At 49.6% G+C, this 21,321-nt stretch overlaps 1 protein-coding gene across 16 annotated transcripts in view, besides 7 other annotated features; it reads left to right on the forward strand.

Moving 5' to 3' along the window:
* The window catches only part of USP42 (ubiquitin specific peptidase 42), an 80,324-nt gene that overhangs the window by 3,646 nt on the left and 55,357 nt on the right, over positions 1 to 21,321 (forward strand). For 4 of the 16 annotated variants that reach the window (NM_032172.3, NM_001389650.1, NM_001365764.1 and 1 more), the window contains exon 1: positions 20,063 to 20,146. The gene's annotated coding sequence lies outside the window, so the exon portion shown is untranslated. Of the gene's footprint in view, positions 1 to 258; positions 377 to 3,714; positions 4,015 to 6,045; positions 6,132 to 8,142; positions 8,227 to 20,062; positions 20,147 to 20,513; positions 21,093 to 21,321 lie in introns of those variants that run through there. The other 12 variants (XM_011515573.2, XM_047420942.1, XM_006715791.2 and 9 more) reach the window with 8 other exon arrangements.
* Positions 16,612 to 16,835: a silencer, noted in NCBI's record as "fragment chr7:6141129-6141352 (GRCh37/hg19 assembly coordinates)". NCBI's record gives its function as "represses an EF-1alpha promoter that drives an FKBP-Casp9 reporter gene in an ReSE screen in K562 erythroleukemia cells {active_cell/tissue: K562}" and the evidence as "EXISTENCE:reporter gene assay evidence [ECO:0000049][PMID:32094911]".
* Positions 18,996 to 19,595: an enhancer, noted in NCBI's record as "H3K27ac-H3K4me1 hESC enhancer chr7:6143513-6144112 (GRCh37/hg19 assembly coordinates)". NCBI's record gives its function as "activates a minimal SCP1, AML or CMV promoter by ChIP-STARR-seq in naive H9 embryonic stem cells {active_cell/tissue: H9 hESC(naive)}" and the evidence as "EXISTENCE:reporter gene assay evidence [ECO:0000049][PMID:30033119]".
* Positions 18,996 to 19,698: a biological region, named in NCBI's record as "H3K27ac-H3K4me1 hESC enhancer GRCh37_chr7:6143513-6144112".
* Positions 19,409 to 19,458: an enhancer, noted in NCBI's record as "active region_25617". NCBI's record gives its function as "activates an Ori minimal core promoter by ATAC-STARR-seq in GM12878 lymphoblastoid cells {active_cell/tissue: GM12878}" and the evidence as "EXISTENCE:reporter gene assay evidence [ECO:0000049][PMID:35858748]".
* Positions 19,479 to 19,698: an enhancer, noted in NCBI's record as "active region_25618". NCBI's record gives its function as "activates an Ori minimal core promoter by ATAC-STARR-seq in GM12878 lymphoblastoid cells {active_cell/tissue: GM12878}" and the evidence as "EXISTENCE:reporter gene assay evidence [ECO:0000049][PMID:35858748]".
* Positions 19,959 to 20,048: a silencer, noted in NCBI's record as "silent region_17935". NCBI's record gives its function as "represses an Ori minimal core promoter by ATAC-STARR-seq in GM12878 lymphoblastoid cells {active_cell/tissue: GM12878}" and the evidence as "EXISTENCE:reporter gene assay evidence [ECO:0000049][PMID:35858748]".
* Positions 20,199 to 20,248: a silencer, noted in NCBI's record as "silent region_17936". NCBI's record gives its function as "represses an Ori minimal core promoter by ATAC-STARR-seq in GM12878 lymphoblastoid cells {active_cell/tissue: GM12878}" and the evidence as "EXISTENCE:reporter gene assay evidence [ECO:0000049][PMID:35858748]".

The following is a 21,321-nucleotide window of genomic DNA, read 5'->3' on the forward strand; positions in this document are numbered from 1 at the left end:
GTTTACATTTTTAGTATAGATGGGGTTTCACCATGTTGGTCAAGCTGGTCTTGAACTCCTGACCTCAGGTGATTCACACACCTCGGCCTCTCAGAGTGCTGCGATTACAGGTGCGAGCCACCGCACCCAGCCAAGGACTCTTAAGTGTAACTGATCCACCCTACTTTTCTCCCTGGCATGAACGACTGTGCCCAGCCTTGTTTTTGTGTTTTAGCCATTCCTATTTATTTATTTATTTATTTATTTATTTTGAGACAGATTCTCACTCTGTCATCCAGGCTGGAGTGCAGTGACATGATCTTCACTTACTGCAACCTCTGCCTCCCGGGTTCAAGTGATTCTCCTGCCTTAGCCTCCAGAGTAGCTGGGACTACAGGTGCGCACCACCATGCCCGACTAATTTTTTTTTTTTTAGTTTTTAGTAGAGATGGGGTTTCACCACTTTGGCCACGCTGGTCTGGATCTCCTGACCTTCTGATCCACCAGCTTTGGGCTCCCAAAATCCTGGGATTTTAGGCGTGGGCCACCGTGCCCGGCCACCATCCCCTTTTAGTTGTTGGAACTCGTAAAACGGAAATCTAGTTAAATCTTCCTCCTAGTGTTGCACATAATTAGTGAGTTAACATGTATAACTCATATAGATTATATAGAAGAGGGACCTGCTGTATAATAGTGTCAAAATAACAGGTATTATTACTATATATGTAATATATACAAATATATATATATATATATATATTTTTTTTGAGATGGAGTCTTGCTCCGTTGCCCAGGCTGGAGTGCAGTGGCATAATCTCAGCTCACCAGAGCCTCTGCCTCTTGAGTTCAAGCGATTCTCCTGCCTCAGCTTCCTGAGTATCTGGCACTACTGGCATGTGCCATCATGCCTGGCTAAATTTTGTATTTTTAGTAGAGACGGGATCTCACCATGTTGGCCAGGCTGGTTTTGAACTCCTGACCTTGTGATCTGCCCGCCTTGGCCTCCCAAGGTGCTGGGATTACAGGCGTGAGCCACCGTGCCCAGCCTATTAGTCTATATTTTTTATAAATGCCCCATAAGCCACTCTTTGTAGGAGACCTCAATGCCACCACAGACACTGGCTGCCAACATCGAGATGAGAGAAACCACCCTGGTGATAACCACCCTCTTTTTTTTTTTCTTTTTTTTTGAGACAGAATCTGACTCTCACCCAGGTTGGTTTGCAATGCCAAGATCTTGGCTCATTGCAACCTTCGCCTCACAGGTTCAAGCAATTCTCCTGCCTCAGCCTCCCGAGTACCTGGGATTACAGGAGCCTGCCACCTCACCTGGCTAATTTTTTTTTTTTTTTTTTTTTGAGACAGAGTCTCGCTCTGTCGCCCAGGCTGGAGTGTAGTGGCGCGATCTCAGTTCACTGCAAGCTCTGCCTCCTGGGTTCACGCCATTCTCCTGCCTCAGCCTCCAGAGTAGCTGGGACTACAGGTGCCTGCCACCATGCCTGGCTAATTTTTTGTATTTTTAATAGAGATAGGATTTCACCGTGTTAGCCAGGATGGTCTCGATCTCCTGACATCATGATCCGCCCACCTCGGCCTCCCAAAATGCTGAGATTACAGGCGTGAGCCACCGCGCCCAGCCTAGCCGGGCTAATTTTTGTATTTTTAGTAGAGACTAGTTTTCACCATGTTGGCCATGCTGGTTTCAAACTCCTGACCTCAGGTGATCCACCCCCCTCAACCTCCCAAAGTTCTGGGATTACAAGCATGAGCTACATCAGCCTTTTCCTTTCCTCCTTCCCTTCCCCCTTCCCTTCCCCCTTCCCTTTCCCCTTTCCTTTCCTTTCCTTTTCCTTTTCCTTTTTCCTTTCCTTTCTTTTTGAGATGGAGTTTCGCTCTTGTCGCCCAGGCTGGAATGCAATGGCGCGGTCTCAGCTCACTGTGACCTCTGTCTCCCAGTTCAAGCAATTCTCCTACCTCAGCCTCCCGAGTAGCTGGAATTACAGGCGTCTGCCACCATACCTGGCTAAATTTTTTGTATTTTTAGTAGAGACGGGGTTTCACCATGTTGGCCAGGCTTGTCTCGAACTCCTGACTTCGGGTGATTTGCCTGCTTCAGCCTCCCAAAGAGCTGGGATTACAGATGTGAGCCACCGCCTCCAGCCACCACACTTTTTTTTTTCTTTTGAGACAGAGTGTCACTCTGTCACCCAGGCTGGAGTGCAGTGGTGCGATCTCAGCCCACTGCAACCTCTGCCTCCCATGTTCAAGCGATTCTCCTGCCTCAGCCTCCCGAGTAGCTGGGATAACAGGGGTGTGCCATCACGCCCAGCTAATTTTCGTAATTTTAGTAGAGAAGGCGTTCACCATGTTGGCCAGGCTGGTCTGGAACTCCTGACCTCAGGTGATCTGCCCGCCTTGGCCTACCAAAGTGCTGGGATTACAGACGTGAGCCACCGCACCTGGCCTAAGCGCTTCTTTTTTTTTTTTTTTTTTTTTTGAGACTAAGTCTCACTCTGTTGTCCAGACTGGAGTGTGATCATAGCTCACTGTAGCCTCAAACTGCTGGGCACAAGTGATCCTCCCACCTCAGCCTCCTGAGTAGCTGGGACTACATGTGGATGCCACTGCGCCTGTCTCATTTTAAAATTTTTTGTAGAGATGGGGTCTTGCCATGTTGCCCAGGCTGATCTTGAACTCCTGGACTGAAGCAATCCACCCGCTTCGGCCTCCCAAAGTGCTGGGATTACAGGAATTAGCTCCCTGCCCCGCCTCACACTTCTTTAACTCTCTTTCATTATACGAAGTTGAGATATTTTTCAGCGAGAGTGTGAATCTTCTCCAACAACTATTTGAGATAAGCTATACCCTCGTCTTGCCTCCTTTATTCCCTTTTATTCTCGTTTTTGCATATGTTGTCCCATCTGCCTAGAAAGTCCCTCTGTCCCCAGTCCCCAGAGGAACATATGTTTGATACTAATTATAAGACAGTGAATAACATACTTAACCTCTAATCTGTAAAATGGAAGTACTAATTTTATCTGCTTTGTAGTCGTGTTGCAAACAGTAAATGAGTTAACATATCTAAATCATTTAGGAGAGGGACCTGGGACATAGTACCTCTCAACGGTTACCTGCTATTAATATCAACTCTAGGACAGGCATGGTGGCTCATACCTGTAATGCCAGCACTTTGGGAGGCCAAGGCAGGAGGATTGCTTGAGGCCAGGAGTTCGAGACCCACCTGGGCAATATAGCAAGACTTTGTCTCTACGAAGTATTTAAAAACTAGCCGGGTACTGAGCTATGATTGCTCCAGTGCACTCCAGCCTGGGCAACAGAGTGAGACCCTGTCTCTAAAACATAAAAATTTTAAAAACCCTACTCACATTACTTTTTTTTTTCTTTTTGCGACGGAGTCTTGATCTGTCACCCTAGGCTGGACTGCAGTGGTGCAATCTCGGCTCACTGCAACCTCTGCCTCCCAGGTTCAAGAGATTCTCCTGCCTCAGCCTCCCAAGTAGCTGGGATTAAAGGCACCCGCCACCATGCCCAGCTAATTTTTATATATTTTTAGTAGAGACGGGGTTTCACCACATTGGCCAGGCTGGTCTGGAACTCCTGAGTTCAGGTGATCACCCGCCTTGGTCTCCCAAAGTGCTGGGATTACAGGCATGAGCCACCGTGCATGGCCTCCTACTCTTATTACTCTTATTGACAATCCTTCTTTGCTCCTAGGAGGCTAACTCATCCTGCCAACCCCGATTGACGTCACTACACCAGTGATAGCGTCTCATCATCGATCTTTCACCATTAGAATCTCCCTAAACAGAAAGATTTCTTCTGAGAATTTATAATTTTCTCTTTCCACCAACTCATCAAGGTGAGTTCGACATTTTGCTCTCCTTCTCTCCTGTTCTTCCTCAGACCTCCTGCTTGAAGCCTGAAGTGTTCCAAGCATAGAGATGATGGACGTGGTATGGGACAATCAGTGCACCCGCAGGAGGGGACGGCGGGAACCAAGATTGGAAGGAACATGTAGGTATACTCACAGGTCCAGGGAGGGGTCTCACCAAATGCCATGAAGGGCCATAGGGGAGTGCCAGGTTTGGTCAGGTGGCAGAAGCCTGAGCCAGAGCCTGCACTGGGGTTTCTTTTCTATATTTATTTATTTATTTATTTATTTATATTTATCTTTTTGAAATGGAGTTTCACTTTGTTGCCCAGGCTGGAGTGAAGTGGTGCGATCTCTGTTCACTGCAACCGCCACCTCCCAGGTTCACGCCATTCTCCTGCCTCAGCCTCCCGAGTAGCTGGGACTACAGGCGCCCGACACCACGCCTGGCTAATTTTTTTTTTTTTTGTATTTTTAGTAGAGACAGGGTTTCACCATGTTGGCCAGGTTCATCTTGAACTCCTGATCTTAGGTGATACACCCACCTTGGCCTCCCAAAGTGCTGGGACTAAAGACATCCTCCTGGTTGAGCTCTTTGGTGTCCTGAGGATTGGCTACCCCTGGGAGGGGGAGTTTCTTTCAGGCCAGCAAGCTTTGTAAGATGTCAAAGCATCATAAATACAGAAAATTTTAAAAACGTAATACATATAGCTTCTGTTCCTTCCACCCAGAACACTCTTCTGACCCTGGACCCCGTCCCTGCTTCACCTGACTTTCTCTTTTTTTTTTTTTTGAGATGGAGTCTCACCCTGTCTCCCAGGCTGGAGTGCAAGGGTGCGATCTCGGCTCACTGCAACCTTCGCCTCCCGGGTTCAAACAATTCTCCTTCCTCAGCCTCCTGAGTAGCTGGGATTACAGGCATGCACCACCACGCCTGGCTAATTTTTTTGTATTTAGTAGAGATGGGGTTTCACCATGTTGGTCAGGCTGTTCTCAAACTCCTGACCTCGTGATCTGCCCACCTTGGCCTCCCAAAGTGCTGGGATTACAGGTGTGAGCTACCGCGCCCAGCCTCTTCACCTGACTTTCTGATACTCATCCCTCAAGTGTCTGATGAAATATGGCTTGCTGTGGCTGGGCGCAGGAGGCGCCAATGTGGCTTGAACCCGGGAGGTGGAGGCTGCAGCGAGCCAAGATCACCTCACTGCACTCCAGCCTGGGCGACAGAGCAAGACTCTGTCTCAAAAGATATATATATAGGGCCAGGCGCAGTGGCTCACGCCTGTAATCCCAGCACTTTGGGAGGTCAAGGTGGGCAGATCACCTGAGATCGGGAGTTCGAGACCAGTCTGACCAACATGGAGAAACCCCCGCCTCTACTAAAAACACAAAATTAGACAGGCATGGTGGCGCATGCCTGTAATCCCAGCTACTCGGGAGGCTGAGGAAGGAGAATTGCTTGAACCCAGGAGGCTGAGGTTGCAGTGAACCGAGATCACGCCATTGCACACCAGCCTGGGCAACAATATTGAAACTCTGTCTCAAAAAAAAAAAAAAGAAATATATATATATATTTCTTTATATATATATTTATATATATATTTATATATATTTCTTTATATATATTATATAGGTTTATATTTATATATATTATATAGGTTTATATTTATATATATGCCAGGCACAGTGGCTCACACCTCTAATCCCGGCACTTTGGGAGGCCAAGGCAGGTGGATCAACTGAGGTCAGGAGTTTGAGACCAACCTGGCTAACATGGTGAAACCCCATCTCTCCTAAAAATACAAAAATTAGTTGGGCACGGTTGTGCATGCCTGTAATCCCAGCTACTCAGGAGACTGAGGCAGGAGAATTGCTTGAGCCTAGGAGGCGGAGGTTGCAGTGAGCTGGGATCATGCCACTGCACTCTAGCCTGGGCGACAGAGTGAGACTCTGTCTCAAATAAACAAAAAAACAAAACTAACTATATATATATTATATACTATATATATTATATATATAACATATATAACATAATATATATAACATATAGTTATATATATAGTATATAACATATATAGTGTAAAATATATATAACTAACTTCTATTAGTAATCCTCTTGAGAGGACCTTACGCTTATAACTTAACTAAAAAGTATTATGTATTTATCCTGTCAGCAATTTATGTTCCAGGAAGAATTTGTTAGGGATCAATTTCATCACAGTTACAATCTAATTTGAAGACATATGACGCCTATTCAGTGGTGAGTTATAAACCCCCTTGCAGCAAGCCTTCCTTGGCCTCCTTTGATTGTGTTCTTCATTAAGTCCTCCAACTTACTTCGGTTTATTGCATATGATTTGCTATTTTGTTTCAGCTTCTGTGGTAAGAGTCACTGTTTATATTTAGTTGATATTGTCAGTACATAGAGATTAACTAACTTTACACACTTTTCTTTTCTCTTCTCTTCTCTTTTCTTTTCTTTTTTGAGGCAGGGTCTTGCTCTGTTGCCCAGGCTGGAGTGAAATGGCAAGATCAGAGCTCACTGCAGCCTCAAACTCCTGGTCTCAAGCGATCCTCCCACCTCCGCCTCCCTCAAGTAGCTGAGACTGCAGGCATGCATCATCATGCCCACCTAATTTTTTTAAGTTTTTGTAGAGACAGGGTCTCCCTATGTTGCCCAGGCTGGTCTTGAACTCCTAGACTCAGGCGATTCTCCTACTTTGGCCTCCCCAAATGCTCAGATAACAGGCTTGAGCCGCCATGCCCAGTGCCATACATAGCGTCTAGTCAGCTACCGTATTATACTATAATTGGGTTTCTATTGATTATATTGATTCTCATTCTCACCCCCATATTAATTTTATTCTTGTTTTTTTATATTAGCCAAAAAAACAGGAACCATATTTAATCATTATGTTAGCATACACACACACACACACACACACACACACACACACATATATATGTTGCTGATTTAATAGTCTGGTAAAAAAATTTTTTTGGAGACAGTGGGGGATGGGGGTGCAAAGTGGGGTGGTGTCTAGCTATTTTGCCCCAACTGGGCTTGATCCCTCCCACCACAGCCTCCCAAATAGCTGGGACTACAGGGGTGCACCACAGCACTCTCAATCGGCATTTCTTCCTGAAATGCTGGCTGGCATCCTTTTTCTATTCGATATCTGCCTGGAAAAAATCCTACTTAGTCCTCAAGGACGTATTTTTTCTTCTTCTTCTTCTTCTTCTTCTTCTTCTTCTTCTTCTTCTTCTTCTTCTTCTTCTTCTTCTTCTTCTTCTTCTTTCTTCTTCTTCTTCTTCTTCCTCTTCCTCTTCTTCTTCTTCCTCCTCTTCTTCTTCTTCTTCCTCTTCCTTCTTCTTCTTCTTCTTCCTCTTCCTCTTCTTCTTCTTCTTTCTTCTTCTTCTCTTTTTTTTTTTTTTTTTGAGACAGATTCTCGCTTTGTCGCCCAGGCTGGAGTGCAGTGGTGTGATCTCAGCTCACTGCAACCTCCGCCTCCTGGGTTCAAGTGATTCACCTGCCTCAGACCTCCTGAGTAGCTGGGATTATAGGCACCTCCCACCACACCCAGCTAGTTTTTGTATTTTTAGTAGAGATGGGGTTTCACCATGTTGGCCAGGCTGGTCTTGAACTCCTGACCTCAGGGGATCTGCCCACCTTGGGCTCTCAAAGTTCTGGGATTACAGGCATGCGCCACCACGCCCGGCCTCAAGGACCTATTTCAAGTGCCATTTCTGTTGTAAAACTTTTCCTGAACAGCATCCACTTCAGGGGTAAACCCATCCACTAAGTATTACCTTCCTCATTTGAGGCATCATGACAATGTGTAATAACTAATTAACACCCACAGCTCCGGGTTCCAAACAAAATAGTCTCTGGAAAGTAGGCACAGCATCTCCAATGACCCCCTCTTAATTCTAAATTAATATTTTGTCAATCCATAAAGGAGAGATTTGGGATCTGTCTCCTAAAAACAAGCTGGGTCTAAGACCTGGCCAGCCACAGTCTCAGATTTCCTTCCTAGGAGACACCGGTCCTCAGAAGATTAAATATATCCCTCCTTGAACACTTTCACACTTTAATGTCTTATGTTGGTGTGCAGGGAAGTGGTGTTAATCATCCATTAGGATAAACTTGGCTTAAGATAAATTAAAACAGCCTTTCATTTCATGAGAGTCTGAAGTAAGGTTCAGAGAACTTAACAGATAAATATAAGCTGGAGCTGGAATTTACATCTAGTGTGTCTGTTTCCAAACAGTGCTCTCTGTGACTGAGTCTCCGTGTGGGCTGCTGGGACAAGTCTATTGATTGGTGTCATCTGAGCACTCTGAGTAAACGGAAGGTACTCTTTCTTCCTTCCTTTCCTTTCCCTCCCTCTCTCCCTCCCTCCCTTCCCTTCCTTCCCTCCCTCTCTCCCTTCCTTCCTTCCCTTTCCTTCCTTTCTTCCTTCCTCCCTCCCTCCCTCTCTTCCTCCTTCCTTTCTTCCTTTCTTCCCTCCTTCCTTCTTTTCTTCTCTCTCTTTTTTTTTGCCTTGGGACCAAGTCTCACTCTGTTGCCCAGGCTGGAGTGCAGTGGCAGGATTTCAGCTCACTGCAACCTCCACCTCCCGAGTTCAAGTGATTCTCATGCCTCAGATTCCCGAGTAACTGGGACTACAGGCATGCACCACCATGCTCGGGTAACTTTTGTATTTTTTGATAGAAACCAAAACCATGTTGGCCAGGCTGGTCTCGAACTCCTGATCTCAAGCGATTCTCCCGCCTCAGCCTCTCAAAGTGCTGGGATTACAGGCATGTGCCTCTCTCTTTCTTTTCTCTTTTTTCTTTCTTTCACCTTGCTTCCCTCCTTCCCCCACCCCTCCCCTCTCCTTTCCTTACCTCTTTCTTCCTTTCTCTCTTTTTTTCTCTTCCTCTCCCTCTTTCTCTCCCCCTCCCTTCTTTACTTTTTTGTGGTAAAATATGGTAGGTACTTCTTTTGAATGTATTTTGTGACCAATCTATTTTTCACTGTTTATATATTTTCTTCTTTGTTTTTTTCATAGTGGTTGTAAAATCTATAAGAGTTAAAAGACCTTGTTCATGTTTGCTCTCAGGGTTTCAGAAAAAGGAGGATCAACTACAAGGTTATTTTGTTTTTTTAAGATGGAGTCTCACTCTGTCACCCAGGCTGGAGTGCATGGCGCGATGTGGGCTCACTGCAACCTCCACCTCCCGGGTTGAAGTGATTCTCCTTCCTCAGCCTCCTGAGTAGCTGGTGCGTGCCACCACACCCGGCTAATTTTTTTTGTATTTTTAGTAGAGACGGGGTTTCACCATGTTGGTCAGTCTGGTCTTGAACTCCTGACCTCGTGATCCACCTGCCTCAGCCTCCTGAAGTGCTGGGATTACAGGCATGAGCCACCATGCCCGGCCTGTTGTTTTTAAGACAGGGTCTTGCTTTGTCACCCAGGCTGGAGTGCCATCGTGCCATAATAGCTCACTGGACCCTTGACCTCCTGGGCTCAAGCGATCCTCCCACCTCAGCCTCCTTAGTAGCTGGGACTACAGGCATGCACCAGCACCTGGCTAATTTTTTATTTTTTGTAGAGTCAGGGTCTCCCTATATTGCCCAGGCTGGTCTTGAACTCTTAGCCTCAAGCGATCTTCCTTCCTCGGCCTCCTAAAGTGCTGGGATTACAGGCATGAGCCACTAAGCCCAGCCTGAGAGATTCTAAACACAACTCCATTCTGTTGTGGATGTAGAAGAACTCCAAAGGATGGAGTGGGTAGCGGTGGAATTAAGCTGGTGCTAGATGAGTCCTTGAGGATTATGTTTGCAGTAGTTCATTGTCACCTATGATGGTTCATCCAGTTTTTGCAGGGGTCAGACTGGTAAATTAAATGAGCAGATGATGGAGACACCAGCCTTGCATCCTTTAACCCTCTGAGCATGGCACTATTCTCTGCGATTTTCTCCCATCAACCTCCACCCTCAGCCCCACCAACTTACTCTTTTGGCCAGAGGGGGCAGTTTCAGGGCTTCCACTTGTTCCACTTGGCTTTTTTTTTTTTTTGGTCACCCAGGCTGGAGTACAGTGACGCAATCTCGGCTCATTGCAACCTCCGCCTCCCAGGTTCAAGCGATTCTCCTGCCTCAGCCTCCTGAGTAGCTGGGATTACAGGTGCTTGCCACCACATCTGGCTAATTTTTGTATTTTTAGTAGAGATGGAGTTTCGCCATGTTGGCCAGGCTGGTCTTGAACTCCTAACCTCAAGGGATCTGCCCGTCTGGGCCTCCCAAAGTGCTGGCATTATAGGTGTGAGCCACCGTGCCCAGCCCCACTTGGCTTTCTGTGCTACAATAGCTCTTAATGCTGTAAGTCAAGGAACCAGTTGCTAAGTATGACTATTTGAGTATCACATTTGGGAACCAGGGAATTGACCACTGTGGGCTCAGTGAACCCAGTGAGGGATGTGGGTCAGGACCAAAGGTATTAACTTGATCCCTTAGCAATAAGGGAACCCTGAGGGTGCTTTAGAGCTGCGTTAACTTGGACTCTGTAAGCAAAAGCCTGGAAATATCTGAGCAGACCCCTATTCCCCAGCATATAATTACGGAGTAAATTAAATGGCCAGAGGGGCCGGGTGTGGTGGCTCACGCCTGTAATCCCAGCACTTTGGCAGGTTGAGGCAGGCAGATCACGAAGTCAGGAGTTTGAGACCAGCCTCGCCAACATAGTGAAACCCCGTGTCTACTAAAAATACAAAAAATTAGCTGGGCGTGGTGGCAGGCACCTGTAATCCCAGCTACTTGGGAAGCTGAGGCAGGAGAATCACTTGAACCTGGGAGGCGGAGGTTGCAATGAGCTGAGATTGCGCCACTGCACTCCAGCCTGGGCAACAGTGCAAGACTCCGTCTAAAAAACAAAAAAAATGGCCAGAGGTCTCTTTGGGGCAGGACTTGGAAAATCCCTACTGTGTACACTTGCATGGGATCTGGCTTCTCCTTTACTGGATGGGTATTTCGATTTTTGTTTTTGAGACAGGGTCTCACTGTTACCCGGGCTGCAGTGGTGTGGTCACATCTCACTGCAGTCTACACCTCCCAGGCTCAAGCAATCCTCCTGCCTCAGCCTCCTGAGTAACTGGGACCACAGGTGCCACCATACTTGGCTTTTTTTTTTAATTTATTTTTTTGTAGAGACAGAGTCTTACTGTGCTCAGGTTGGTCTCGAATTCCTAGACTCAAATCATCCATCTGCCCCAGCTTCCCAAGCATTGGGATTCCAGGTCTGAGCCACCTCACCCAGCCTGGATGCATGTTTTGGAATTGAGAACTGGCTCAGGTGGGGGAATCTGGGCAGATGTTCGTGTTTTTCCACTGAGACAGCTAACCTCAGTCTTCTACACAACCAGGTTATTATAGACATATAGGTATACCTGGCCAGGCGTGGTGGCTCACGCCTGTAATCCCAGCACTTTGGGAGGCTGTGGTGGGCAGATCACTTGAGGCCAGCAGTTCGAGACCAGCTTATTACTTGGTGCCAGTAAGAACACTGGGAGTATTCTCCAAAGCAGAGTCTCCCCAAGGGAAAGTGACAGTAGGGTTTTATGGGGTGATGGAGAGGGGAGATGGGTGCATCATTGCATGGAGAGGAGGGATCCCAATGGTGCAGATGCAGTGAGTCATCCTGCCAGCCCATAGGTTGCATGTGATGGGAATGAAGCTATAACTTCTCACGGGATGGATACTTTAGCATGGTCATGCAGAGAGTTCACTCAGGTTCATCTGTACGTTGTTGGGGTCTGTCAGGAGCTGGTTTAAACTAACAAGGTGACTGCATTCCATCCAAGGTTTGGGGAAGAACAGGTGCAGAGCAGGAGGCTGTGAAACAGGCTGATTGCACAAGTTGATTAATCCCTGGAGATTAATCCCAAGTTCCTATAATCCCTGGAGATCCTCCTTGTCTGCTTACAATGATATATACTGTGCTTTTGTTGACAGCCTGTCTTGCCCTGTGTTTTATTAGCCATTGCCTTGGATCCCTGCAAGTCAGTGCCTCCCATCTGCTACTCTGGCTTGCTGCTCACTGTACCAATCATGCCCACCTTCTGCTGCGTAAGCACTGCTACCCAGTCTCTGACACTCCAGGATGCCATCATTTTCTTTCTTTCTTTCTTTTCTTTTTTTTTTTGAGACAGTCTTCCTCTGTCATCCATGCTGGAGTGCTGTGGCATGATCTTGGCTCCCGGGTTCAAGTGATTCTCTTGCCTCAGCCTCCCAAGTAGCTGTGACTACAGGCACATGCCACCATGCCTGGCTAATTTTGTATGTTTAGTAGAGACGGGCTGCTATCATCCTCTTTGCTACCAGACAGCCCAGTTCTGTAACAGCATCTCCTGTTATTAGCCCTGGCTTATACATGACAGCCACCTCGGGGTACCACTTTTCCAACACAGCTGATGCTGTCTCTGCCCTCCGTGGTCCTGGTAAAACGGTGTTTTCCAGGCCTTGTGATGGAATGTCACCAGCTGGTAGCATGCATTTTAGCATGTCCTCTTCCCTGAGAGTAGCACTCGCTTCCTCCAGTATCTGCCATGGAATTCATGGCATCTAAAATTAGGTCCCTGTGGGTCCTTTTTTTTTTTTTTTTTTTTTGGAGACAGGCTCATGCACTGTTGCCCTGAAGACAGAGCACAGGCTGAAGTGTGCCGTTGCATGATCATAGCTCACCGCAGCCTCCAATTCCTGGCCTCAAGTGATCCTCCCAGTTCAGTCTCCCAAAGTGTTGTGATTACAAGCATAAGCCACTGCGCCCAGCCATGTGGGTTATTTCTTTTTCTTTTCTTTTTTTTTTTCGAGACAGAGTCTTGCTCTGTCACCCAGGCTGGAGTGCAGTGGCACAATCTCAGCTCACTGCAAACTCCGCCTTCCGGGATCATGCCATTCTCCTGCCTCAGCCTCCCGAGTTGCTGTGACTACAGGCGGCCGCCACCATGCCCCGCTAATTTTTTGCATTTTTAGTAGAGGCGGGGTTTTACCATGTTAGCAAGGATGGTCTCGATCTCCTGACCTCGTGATCCGCCCGCCTCGGCCTCCCAAAGTGCTGGGACTACAGGCGTGAGCCACCGCGCCCGGCCTTCTTTTTCTTTCTTTTCTTTTTTTTTTTTTTTTGAGATGGAGTCTCACTCTGTTGCCAGGCTGGAGTGCTGTGACACAATCTTGCCTCACTGCAAACTTCAACTCCCTGGTTTAAGCGATTCTCCTGCCTCAGCCTCCTGAGTAGCTGGGATTACAGGCACACACCACTACCCCACAGCTAAGTTTTGTATTTTTAGTAGAGACGGGTTTCACCATGTTGGCCAGGATGGTCTTGATCTTCTGAACTCGTGATCCTTCCACCTTGGCCTCCCAAAGTGCTGGGATTACAGGCGTGAGCCACCGCGCCCAGCCCATGTAGCTTATTTCTATTGTCAAATACCAGTCCCATGATGTATCAGAACCTGCCCACCCAGCATCCTTGACAAAGTGTGAGATCTGTATTAAAGGAAAGTGCCCACATATCTATAAACTCTCTCTTATCTGCTCCCCAGCCCTCACCCCTCACCCCTTGATCTAGGCCCCGTAGTATCCATTCCCGGGCTTATTTTCAGTTTCTGCTGGTGTGTATTAGCCTGGTCTTGCAGTTCCTTCAATTTTTGATTCCACTCCTCCCTTAGCAGGCGTGATGGTATCTGATCTTGGTGATTTATCTGGTGGCCAGGGGGATACAGGAACAGAAAGAATGCATTGTTTTCTTGTTTTTTGTTTTTCTTGAGACAGAGTCTCACTCTTAACTGTCGCCCAGGCTGGAATGCAGTGGCATGATCTCAGCTCACTGCAACCTCCGCCTCCCCGGTTCAAACGATTCTCCTGCCTCAGCCTCCTGAGTAGCTGGGATGTGCACCACCACACCTGGCTAATTTTTGTATTTTTTAGTAGAGACGGGGTTTCACCATGTTGGCCAGGCTGGTCTTGAACTCCTGATTTCAAGTGGTCTGTCTGCCTCGGCCTCTCAGAGTGCTGGGATTACAGGCATGAGCCACCATGCCCTGCCAAGAATGCATTGTCTTGTAGGGTACCTACCTCATTTGAGGTGTCTGCATAGTCTTCGGGTTGGTGGTACCATTCTTGAACAAAGAGTTCAGAGGAGCTTGAAGTTCTACGGACATTAGAGTCCTGTCCTTTGTCTCAGGGTCTCACTCCTTCCTTATTAGAGTCCTGACTTTGGTGTTAGAGACTGATAGTAGCTGAAAATTCAACCTTTTCTAATGTTCTGCTCCTTTTAGGTTAAGTCCTCTGCCTGGTTTTCAGGACTGTCTGCCCTCTGATTATAGATGACAGACTGCTGAGGAGGCTCTGCTCTCTGGCTTTCTCACTTTATATTACTGACTAATTGCCTGGAGCCCCATTGTTCCCTCTCTTTTTTTTTTTTTTTTTTTTTGAGACGGAGTCTCGTTCTGTTGCCCAGGCTGGAGTGCAGTGGCGCGATCTCAGCTCATTGCAACCTAGGCCTCCCAGGTTCAAGAGATTCTCCTGCCTTAGCCTCCCCAGTAGCTGGGACTACAGGCACCCGCCACCATGCCCGGCTAATTTTTTGTATTTTTAGTACAGATGGGGTTTCACAGTGTTAGCCAGGATTGTCTCAATCTCCTGACCTCATGATCTGCCCGCCTCGGCCTCCCAAAGTGCTGGGATTACAGGCGTGAGCCACTGTGCCTGGCCAATTTTTGTATTTTTAGTAGAGATGGGGTTCAGTATGTTGGGCAGGCGGGTCTCAAACTCCTGACCTCAGGTGATCCACCTGCCTCAGCCTCCCAGAGTGTTAGGATTACAGGTGTGAGCCACCGCACCTGCCCCAATTTTCCCTCTTTAAAGGATCTGTTATTACCATCCGGGCACAGTGGCTCATGCCTGTAATCCCAGCATTTTGGGAGGCCAAGGCAGGGAGATCATTTGAGGTCAGGATTTCAAGAGCAGCCTTGCCAATATGGTGAAACCCCATCTCTACTAAAAATACAAAAATTATCTGGGCATTGTGGTGGGTGCCTATAATCCCAGCTACCTGGGAGGCGGAGGCAGGAGAATCACTTAAACCTGGGAGGTGGAGGTTGCAGTTAGCCAAGATCACACCACTGCAGTCCAGCCTGGGTGACAGAACGAGACTCCCTCTCAAAAAAAAAAAAAAATTCTATTACTACCAAATTTCACAAGTCTATTATTATTATTATTATTATTATTATTGGTAGAGACTGGGGCTCACTATGTTGCCCAGGCTGGTCTTGAACTCCTGGCCTCAAGCGATCTTCCGGCCTCAGCCTCCTAAAGTGCTGGGATTACAGGTGTGAGTCACCGCACCTGGCCCAATTTCACAGTTCTAATGACTACTTCTCCTATATCCTCAAAAACCAGAGAGATTGAATAAGCCAACACATCCCCTTCTACTCATATCCAGCCCTAACTAGTCCCCCTAGATGGGCGCCTGATACTGTTGCCCAGCTGTGAGTGTCCCATCCATTGCCTGGAGATTTATTTATTTATTTATTTTATGGTTTTTTAATACGGAGTTTCGCTCTTGTTGCCCAGGCTGGAGTGCAATGGTATGGCCTCAGCTCATTTCAACCTCCGCCTCCTGGGTTCAAGCGATTCTCTTGCCTCAGCCTCCCAAGTAGCTGGGATTACAGGTGCTTGCAACCATGCCCGGCTAATTTTTGTATTTTTAGTAGAGACGGGGTTTCACCATGTTGGCCAGGCTTGTCTCGAACTCCTGACCTCAGGTTATCTGCTCATCTCAGCCTCTCAAAGTGCTGGGATTACAGGCGGGAGCCACTGTGCCTGGCACCTGGACATTTTTACACTCTGTTTCTTAGGGACTATTCTTGGTATCCACTGTCTTTTTTTTTTTTTTTTTGAGACGGGAGTCTCGCTCTGTTGCCCCAGGCTGTAGTGCAGTGGTGCAAGCCCACCTCCCAGGTTCCAGCAATTCTCCTGCCTCAGCCTCCTGAGTAGCTGGGATTATAGGCGCGCGCTACCACACTCAGCTAATTTTTTGTATTTTTAGAAGAGATGGGGTTTCACCATGTTGGTCACGCTGGTCTTGAACTCCTGACCTCAAGTGATCTGCTTGCCTTGGCCTCCCAAAGGGCTGGGACTATAGGTGTGTGCCACTGAGCCTGGCTGGTACCCACTGTCTTAAACCAGGATATCTAGAAGTGAGGCTTGAGACAGAATTTAGGCGCACAAGATTTAGGTACAATTTGGCCTTGAGGGGAGCGCTCTAGGGAGGAAGGTAATGAAAGGAAAGGGCAGTGAAAGGAGTGGAGCAACAATATTGTCTCAGTGGGAGATGAGTCTCCCCTTCAGCTAAGAACAGCCTCAGGAGAAGAGGCAGCTGTGAGTTATAAGCAGCGAACACCACAGCAGCAGACAAGGGATGGAAGCATCCGCCAGTAAGGAGGACCTGGGTGGGGCATTAACAGTGCCCACTGCAGGCTCCCTAAGTCTGGAGGTCCTCAGAAAATAAAATTCACCCCTTCCTGACACCTATTGTTCCATGATCCTGTGAGCCTTCGGACTTGAGGGTGGGGCACTTGGAATCAGTTTGCGTCTTGCATAAAAACCATTTCAATAAAGGAAACAGGTTAAGTAATTTCTGTAGGTCACAGAGCTTATAAGAACAGAGGAAAAGTGACTTCTCCAGGCAGCATTCACTCTGGATTACACTCTGATCTGGAGGAGAACAAGGTTTTGGGGCCAGTTTATCATCTCAGCCAAGGCCCCAGCTGTTTGTAGGCAGGGATGTCTTCATATGCTTTGTGACTTCTCCATTAATGTTGCCAGTTTGCTAGAGTAAGTGGTGCTAGCTCCTTAGAGGAAAAGGGTCTCTATGTTTGCTTTGATGGCATGGGGCAAGGTAGAGGGGGAGGTGTAACCCCCCATCCCCTCCAACCTTAGAGCCTGTTCTGGGTAGACAACGCCAAGAGATGATTTAAAAAGAACTCCTTTTCTGACTGGGCGCAGTGGCTCACGCCTGCAATCCCAGCACTTTGGGAGGCTGAGGTGGGCAGATCACTTGAGGCCAGGAGTTCGAGTCCAGCCTGACCAACATGGTGAAACCCCATCTCTACTAAAACTACAAAAAAAAAAAAAATTAGCCGGGTACAGTGGTGTGTGCTTGTAGTCCCTGAGGCAGAAGAATTGCTTGAACCTGGGAGGTGGAGGTTGCAGTGAGCCGAGACTGTTCTAGGAGACAGGGTGACATTCCACCTTAATTCACAAAAAATACCTTTTCTATTTAAGTTGCTCAGGTAGTCTCCTAAGATTTTTTTTTTTTTTTTTTTTGAGACAGACGGAATCTCACTCTGTTGCCCAGGCTAGAGTGCAGTGTCGCGATCTCGGCTCACTGCAACCTCTGCCTCCCAGGTTCAAGCGATTCTCCTGCCTCAGCCTCCCAGTAGCTGGGATTACAGGTGCCATCACCACAGCCAACTGATTTTTGTATTTTTAGTAGAGACAGAGTTTCAGCATATTGGCCAGGCTGGTCTCGAACTCCTGATCTTGTGATCTGCCCGCCTCGGCTTCCCAAAGTGCTGGGATTACAGGCGTGAGCCACCACGCCCAGATTCTACTAAGATTTAAGGGGCAGCCTGGAGGGACCAGTTTGTCAACAGCGTGAAATGGAAAATGAAGCTGGGTTGGTGTGGTGGCTCATGCCTGTAATCCCAGCACTTTGGGAGGTCCAAGCAGAGGATCCCTTGAGGCCAGGGGTTCACAACCAACCTGGGCAACATAGCGAGCCCGTCTCTAAAAAAATAAAGATTAGCCAGGTGTGGTGGGCTGTGCCTGTGGGGACACACTGTGGGCTGCGCAGAAGAGGCAGCATGGGTGGGCTTTCTACAAGCAGATGTAGTAGTGGGGTAGGGCTGGGTACTGGAATTGAGGAGTGTGTTATGGTTGAAACACATAAAAGAGGAAAGGGAACTTGGAGTTTCTGATACCTAGCTAAGGAATTTAGACTTTGCTGTGAGCCATAGAATGCTCAGAGTGGGGGAGTCAAGTGATCTGACGGTTTTTGGAAGACCACCCAAGCCACTGTAGGGTGGGGAGTGCAGCAACAGAGAAGAGACTGTTGAGATGGAATTGTTGAGCGAAGAAAGGCTGACTCAGGGAGGGTCAGGACAGCAGCCGCTGGGGAGGCCAGGTAAACATGAGTTGGTGTAAAGGGTTAGATCACCAGGGGAGGGAAAGAGGCAGTGAGAGAGGAAAGGTCTGGTGAGCACAGAATACCAGGTCCTTAATCAGTGCAGGGAGAAGCAGGCTCATGGTGGAGGGGAGATGCAGAGATGAACTAGCTCTGTTAGGCCTCGAGGTGGAGACAGCCAATAAATGATTGGATGTGTGGATCTGGCACTCTGGAGCAAGAACTGGTCCAGTTGTCTCCTAAGCCTGTACAATGCTAGGATTTGAGATAAAATCTGGACGGGGTGAACAGGGGTCTATCCCCTTCAGAGCCAGGTTTAAAATTCCACACCTGAGGTCAGGAGTTCGAGACCAGCCTGACCAACATGGTGAAACTCTGTCTCTACAAAATACAAAAAATTAGCCGGGCGTGGTGGCGGGCATCTGTAATCCCAGGTACTTAGGAGGCTGAGGCAGGAGGCACAGGTTGCAGTGAGCCGAGATGACACCATTGCACTCCAGCCTGGGCCATAAGAGCAAACTCCGTCTCAAAAAAAAAAAAGAAAAAGAAAATCCCTTTCTGTAACTCAGTGTGTGAGTCTGATGGACAGTGGCGCACCGGTGGGGTCAGGCGGACTTGAAGGCTGCATCAGGTCTTGGGCGGTGGCTCCGGAGTGTAATCCCAGCGCTTTGGGAGGCTGAGGTGGGACAATCGCTTGATCTCAGAAGTTGGAAACCAGCCTGGGCAACATAGCGAGACCCCCGTCTCTACAAAAAAAAAAAAAAAAACAAAACTTAAAAAATTAGTCGGGTGCAGCGGCTCACGCCTGTAATCCCAACACTTTGGGAAGCCACGGAGGGGGAGCTGCTTGAGCCCAGGAATCTTAGACCTGCCCGGGCAACAGTAAGACCTCTGTCCCTACAAAACAAAACTCCACACCAAAAACAAACAAACAAAAACCCTAAAATTAAGTGGGCGTGGTAGCGCGCGTCCGTAGCCCCAGCTGCTAGGGAGGCTAAGACAGGAACATCGCTTGAGCCCGGGAGGTCGCAGCTGCAGTGAGTTAGGTCGTGAAATTGCACTCCAGCCTGGGCTACAGACCCTGTTTCTTTTCTTTTCTTTTTTGAGACAGACTCTCGCTCTGTCGCCCAGGCTGGAGGGCTGCAGTGCAGAGGCGCGATCTCGGCTCACTGCAACCTCCGCCTCCCGGGTTCAAGCAATTCTCCTGCCTCAGCTTCCCGAGTAGCTGGGACTACAGGCGCGCGCCACCACGCCCGGCTAATTTTTTGTATCTTTAGTAGAGACAGGGTTTCACCATGCTGGCCAGGCTAGTCTCGAACTCCTGACCTCGTGATCCGCCCGCCTCGGCCTCCCAGAATGCTGGGATTAAGGCGTGAGCCACCGCGCCCGGCCCAGACCTTGTTTCTAAGAAACAAAAAATAAAGGCTGCGTCCGCTAGGCCAAGGGAGGCGCAAGGTAGTTGCAGAGGGCGAAGCCCACGAAGCGGAGGATTTCTCGGAGCCAAGTCCGTTTTCGGGGGACGGGGATCCCAGACTCCTGCGTCCCCAGGTGCCCCGCTTCTGGAAACGCATCTGGGGTCAAGCGCAGGACGAGGCGAAAGCCCAAAGTCCTACGCCCGCCGCGCGCCGTCTGGCTCTGCCCAGGGAAGCACAGGGCGGAAGGAGCCCTTTCGCCGGCGCGCAGACGCGCGACCAGCCCAGCCAATCAGCGCGCTCCCTCTGCCGGCCCGACCGGCGCTCTGGTGACGCGCGACGTCTGCCTTCGCCCACGGCTCTTGGGCGACGACCCCTCCCACACTCGCCGTGCTTGTTAGCTGCGCGCCGCGCTTCTTGTGCGACGGCCCCTGGGCGGCGGCGCGTTCGGGCGCGGCCCTGGCGCGCCCCCCGGCGGCCCGGAGGGGCGCGGCGGGCGCGGCGCTGACCCGGAGGCGGCGGCGGCGGTGCCCGGATGGAGGCACGTCATTGTCCCCCGCCGGGCGGCTGGGCTGTGTGCGGCGGCGGCGGCGGCGGCCGAGGGGGATGGAGCGAGCGCCGAGCCGGGTCAGGTAAGCTCCCGCCTCCTTCCCGCCCGCCGCAGGCCGGCATGGGGCCCGCGCAGCGGCCCGCTCGCCTGGGCCGCCGCTGGCTCGGCCGCCCCTCAGCCGGCGCGGCCCGCCGGGGGCTGGTGCGGCCCCTCGCCCGCCTCCCCCTACACAGCCGCGGGCCGCCCGGGACCCCGCCGCTCTGGGGGCTGCGGCGCCACCGCCCGCCCGGGCCAGGCCGCTGGGGAGGGGGCGGCGGCCGCGGCGGGCGGGCACCGGGGTAGCCGGGCTGCGCGGCGAGGCCGGGCCCCCCTGGTTGCCATGGACACTGCGCTCCCACCCCCACCCGGCCCCAGCCCGCCCCTTCGGCCTGGGGGCCGGGCAGGCAGGCGGGAGGCTCGGGGCGGCCGGGGTGGGCGTGTGCTGGCCGCTGACCGCGGAGTCCGGCGTCCCCGGCCCGCCCGCCGCCCCCCGCGTGGCTGCCACCTCCCGCCCCGGAGCCCCCTCAGAGCCCCGGGCCGGCCTCCCCGCCCCCACTGCATCCCTAACAGAGGCAAAGTTTTCCCACCTTGGGCGCCCCCTCCCCAGGCCTAGCCACCTGGCTGCTCCGTGGAGAGTCCGAGGTGCCCACGCCGGGCGGAGCGGCCACCCCGAAGGGAGAGGAGAAGCCGGGTGGCGCGTCCCCAAAAGCATGTGTGCCTCTCTAGCGTTTTTTATTTTCGGGGCAGGAAGAGCCAGCTTACCTGGAACGGGGGATCCGTTGCAGATGTTGGAAATGAAAATTGGACGGAACAAGTTTTCCCATCTAGGACTTTAACCCCTCTCACATGCATGCAGTGGAGATGACTTTTGTTAATGACTCTTAGGAGGCCGTGGGGTCACTTGTTTATGGGAAAACATGTTGGTTATGTAAAGTCAATACCCTGACAGCAAAACTGTTTGAGAAACTAGTTAACGCCTCCTTTTCAAGGTAACCACAGAATCCTAGGTTCTCGTTTTGGTGGCCTCTCAAAACGTTTCGAAGAGTTGTACATTTTAAACCTAATTCTTTTTACTTTGTCACTCATTCAAATTGCCTAGGGGATATGAATGATCAGTTTCACTTATTTGTTTTAAATTAGGGTCAGTTTCACTTTCTCTTCTGTATCTTTGAATCAAGTCTACAGTAAGTATTTGGTTTATAAAGTTTAAGGCCAGTC

The sequence above is a fragment of the Homo sapiens genome, chromosome 7, assembly GCF_000001405.40.
Source record: "Homo sapiens chromosome 7, GRCh38.p14 Primary Assembly".
NCBI lineage: Eukaryota > Metazoa > Chordata > Mammalia > Primates > Hominidae > Homo > Homo sapiens.